Genomic DNA, 5,190 nt, shown 5'->3' with positions numbered 1-5,190 from the left:
ATCTCTTGACCTCATGATCCGCCCGCCTAGGCCTCCCAAAGTGCTGGAACTACAGGTGTGAGCCACCGCGCCTGGCTGGAGCTATCTTTATTATTGCACTTATCATTGTATTAAAATTATTTGATTACCTGTCACTTCTCTTCATCTTTCTATGAACAAATAGAAAGATAATATCTATTACTTCTATTCTCCCTCTAACAATAGCAATTACACAGTGGCAAATACATTAAAGATGCTTAATAAATCATTGTTAAACAAATTAACAGATATATGGATACTAGGCCTTTGGGTCTTATTTAGGCCTGAAGTGGTAGTACAATTGCAGAGGACATACTTTTGCATCATTTGGGCCTGTCTTAGTCTGTTTTGTGTTGTTATAACAGAATACCACAGAGTGGGTAATTTACAAAGAAAAGAAATTTATTTCTGGAGGCTGGGAAGGTTAAGTTCTAGGGACCCACATCTGATGAGGGCCTTCTTTCTGTGTCATCCCTTGGCAGGTGAAAGGCAAAGGGTGAGTGCAGGCCATAGAACTCACAGCCTTAAGCCCTTTTTAATTGGATATTATATTAACACATTCATGAGGGCTCCATCCTCATGACCTAAACACCTCCCATTAGGCCCTACCTCCCAACACTGTTGGCGTTGGGGATTGTTTCCAACATGTATTCCTTGGGGAACACATTCAAACCACAGCAGGACCCATATCTGTGCATCGTATTAGATGATAAAACTTTTTTTTTTTTTGAGACAGAGTCTCGCTCTGTCACCCAGGCTGGAGTGCAGTGGCGCGATCTTGGCTCACTGCAACCTCTGCCGCCCAGGTTCAAACGATTCTCCTGCCTCAGCCTCCCAAGTAGCTAGGTTACAGGCACCTGCCACCATGCCTGGCTAATTTTTGTAGTTTTAGCAGAGACAGGGTTTCACCATCTTGGCCAGGCTGGTTTTGAACTCCTGACCTTGTGATCCACCCACCTCAGCCTCCTGAAGTGCTGGGATTACAGGCATAAGCCACCGCACCCAGCCAATAAAACATTTTTATATTTTATTTTGCTTTATTTGTCTTTGTATCTTCTATAGTACCCATTTTCAAGAAATATATATTGAGGATCTGTTCTGCTCAGAAATGGAATAGAATTTGTATGTTTTAACCAGGTCAAAGTCCATTCATAAACTTAACATTTATTGTCTTATTGCTGTATGAGAATACTGTGACAGATAGGAAGTGTAAAGGGTTGGACCAACATTACTCTTACAGGAGATGAGAATCTGTGGGTAATTTTTTTTTTTTTTGAGACAGTCTCGCTCTGTTGCCCAGGCTGGAGTACAGTGGCACGATCTCGGCTCACTGCAGCCTCTGCCTCCCAGGTTCAAGCAGTTCTCCCACCTCAGCCTCCCTAGTAACTGGGATTACACACAGCTAATTTTTGTATTTTTGTAGAGACGGGGTTTCACCATGTTGGCCACCTCGTCATGAACTCCTGACCTCCGGTGATTTGTCCACCTCGGCCTCCCAAAGTGCTGGGATTACAGGCATGAGCCACCGCGCCTGGCCTTACTTTTTTTTTTTTTTTGAGACAGTTTCACTCTGTTGCCCAGGCTGGAGTGCAGTGGAGTGATCTCAGCTCACTGCAACCTCTGCCTCCTGGGTTCAAATGATTCTCCTGCCTCAGCCTCTTGAGTAGCTGGGATTATAGACGCCCACCACCTCGCCTGGCTAGTTTATATATATATATATATATATTTTTTTTTTTTTTTTTTTTTTTTTTTTGAGAGGAAGTCTCGCTCTGTCACCCAGGCTGGAGTGCAATGGCACGATCTCAGCTCACTGCAACCTCTGCCTCCTGGGTTCAAGCAATTCTCCTGTCTCAGCCTCCCGAGTAGCTGGGATTACAGGCATGCGCCACCACTCCTGGCTAATTTTTTGTATTTTTAATACAGACGGGGTTTCACCATGTTGGCCAGGCTGGTCTTGAACTCCTGACCTCAGGTGATCCACCCATCTTGGGCTTCTAAAGCGCTGGGATTACAGGCATGAGCCACCATGCCTGGCCGATAAATTTTTTGAAATGGTAAATTTGGATCATAAAATAACAGGGCATTTTAGATTAGAAGAAGAGTATACTTAAAAGCAGAGAGGTGGCCAGGCACGACGGCTCATGTCTGTAATCTCAGCACTTTGGGAGGTCTCCTTTTGGGAGGCCAAGGCAGGCAGTTTGCCTGAGCTTAGGAGTTTAAACCAGCCTGGGCAACATGGTGAAACCCCGTCTCTACAAAAAACACAAAAATTAGCCAGCCTTGATGGCGGGCACCTGGAGTCCCAGCTACTTGGGAGTCTGAGGTGGGAGGATTGCTCGAGGAGGTTGAGGCTGCGGTGAGCTGTGATGGCACCACAGCACTCCAGCCTGGGTGATACAGGGAGACCCTGTCTCAAAAAAATAAATAAATAAAAAGCAGAGAGGCAAGAATGTGTATGGCATGTTTGGGAAACATTGGTTGAGTGGCATTTACTTTGTAGTCATGAGTTCTCACCAAAGAAGATATATGGATGGCTAACAAATGTAGTAGAAGATATTCAACAGCATTAGTCATTAGGGAAATGCCAACTGAAACCACAGAGATACCACTTCACATTCACTAGAATGGTTATAATTAAAAAGACCGACAATGCCAAATGTGTATGAGGTTATGGAGAAATTAGAACCTTCATGCATTGTTAGTGGGAATATAAAATGATACTGCCACTTTGGAAAATAGTTTTGGAGTTTCTTTAAAAGTTCAACATAGGCCAGGAGTGGTGGCTCAAGCCTCTAATCCCAGCACTTTGGGAGGCTGAGGCGGGCAGATCACGAGGTCAGGAGATCGAGACCATCCTGGCTAACACAGTGAAATCCCATCTCTACTAAAAATACAAAAAATTAGCCGGGCCCGGTGGCACGCACCTGTAGTCCCAGCTACTTGGGAGGCTGAGGCAGGAGAATTGCTTGAACCCAGGAGGCAGAGGTTGCAGTGAGCCGAGATTGCGCCACTGCACTCTAGCCTGGGCGATAGAGTGAGACTCCATCTCGAAAAAAAAAAAAGTTCAACATAAACTTACTCTATGACTCAGCAATTTCACTCCTAGGTACTGCTCAAGAGAAATGAAAATATATGACCACACAGAAGCTTGTATGTGAATGTTCACAACAGCATTATTCATAATAGCCAAAAAGTGGAAACGACCCAAATGGTGAATGGAACAAAACACAGTATATTTGTACAACAGAATATTGTTCAGCCATAAGAAGGAATGAATGACTGACACACTATACAACATGGATGAACTTCAAAAACATCATGCTAAATGAAAAAAGCCAGACACAAAGATTCTATTTACATGCAATGTAGGATTCCATTTATGTAAGTTCCACAAAAGGCAACTCTATAGAGACAGAAAGCTGATTAGTAGTTGTCTGGGGCTAGGGTTGGGAGCAGGAATTGACTGCAAATGAGCACAAGGGAACTTTTTGGGGTGAGGAAAATATTCTAAAAACTGAATTGTGGTGATAGTTGCACAACTCTATAAATTTACTAAGCATTGAACTGTACACTTATAACAGGTGAATTTTATAATGCATAAATTATTTCTAATTAAAGCTGTAGGAGGAAAAGACACAGGTTTAAATCAAATCCTGGCTCTACCACTATCTAGCTGTGAGATTTGGCCAAGTTATTTTAGTTCTGTTAACCTCTGTTGTCCCATCCCTGTAAAATAGGGATGATAAAAATAGTACCGTAGTACAATGAAGACTAAGTAAGGTCATGCAGTAAAGAATGTATCACATAGTGATTACTCCATGAAGGTTAGCTCTTATGAGACTAGTTGGTAAAGATTGTGATGTTCGTATTTGTTTTCAAAAGGTGCATGCAGATTTAGAGGGATCTAAAATCCCAAGAAAGAAAGGAATTAACAGTGAGACTTTTGAAGAGATGAAACAGAGAAGAGGCAGGTGGCAGTAAAAACACAGAAGAAAACTGCAGATAGGCAAATAATGAGGAAAAAGACAGGAAGTGATCATTAATTGAATGAACAGAGCTGGAGTTGAGAATGCTTCTCTTTTCTAAACTGGACTTGGATCTAGATTTTAAAATTACTAGCCAGGCGCAGTGGCTCATGCCTGTAATCCCAGCACTTTGGGAGGCTGAGGCAGGCGGATCACAAGGTCAGGAGATCAAGACCATCCTGGCTAACATGGTGAAACCCCGTCTTTACTAAAAATACAAAAAAAGAAAAAATTAGCCGGGCATGGTGGTGGACGCCTGTAGTCCCAGCTACTTGGGAGGCTGAGGCAGGAGAATGCCGTGAACCCGGGAGGCGGAGCTTGCAGTGAGCCAAGATTGCACCACTGCACTCCAGCCTGGGCGACAGAGCAAGACTCAGTCTCAAAAAAAAAAAAAAAAAGTTACTTAGGCCGGGCATGTTGATGCCTGTAATCCCAGCACTTTGGGAGGCTGAGGCTGGCGGATCACGAAGTCAGGAGTTTGAGACCAGCCTGACCAACATGGTGAAACCCTATCTCTACTAAAAAGTACAAAAATTAGCCAGGCATGGTGGTGCGCACTTGTAATCCCAGCTATTCAGGAGGCTGAAGCAGGAGAATCACTTGAATTCAGGAGGCGGAGCCTGCAGCGAGCCGAGATCGTGCCCTGCACTACAGCCTGGGCGACAGAGCGAGACTCCGTCTCAAAAAAATAAAAATAAAAATTACTTAATTTTGGCCGGGCGCAGTGGCTCACACCTGTGATCCCAGCACTTTGGGAGGCCGAGGCAGGCGGATCACGAGATCAGGAGATCGAGACCATCCTGGCTAACACGGTGAAACCCCGTCTCTACTAAAAATACAAAAAAAGAAAAAATTAGCCAGGCGTGGTGGTGGACACCTGTAGTCCTAGCTACTTGGGAGGCTGAGGCAGGAGAATGGCGTGAACCCAGGAGGCGGAGCTTGCAGTGAGCCGAGATCGCACCACTGCACTCCAGTCTGGGCAACAGTGCAAGACTCTGTCAAAAAAAAAAAAAATTCTTAATTTTATTTACTCATTGTATTCATTCATTTGTTGAACAGAATGTACAAATCATACATGGTAACAGTACCTACTACATAGAGTTGTCACAAATTAAATCAGTTAATTCTTGGAAAGCACAGTTTATAC

General features: G+C 43.8%; 1 annotated feature.

Annotated features, from left to right (window-relative positions):
* Positions 3,278 to 3,347: an enhancer, noted in NCBI's record as "active region_11972". NCBI's record gives its function as "activates an Ori minimal core promoter by ATAC-STARR-seq in GM12878 lymphoblastoid cells {active_cell/tissue: GM12878}" and the evidence as "EXISTENCE:reporter gene assay evidence [ECO:0000049][PMID:35858748]".

The sequence above is a fragment of the Homo sapiens genome, chromosome 17 (genome assembly GCF_000001405.40).
Source record: "Homo sapiens chromosome 17, GRCh38.p14 Primary Assembly".
In the NCBI taxonomy this organism is placed as follows: Eukaryota; Metazoa; Chordata; class Mammalia; order Primates; family Hominidae; genus Homo; species Homo sapiens.
The sequence above is the reverse complement of the archived record's forward strand: the minus strand, read 5'-3'. Positions and strand labels throughout refer to the sequence as shown.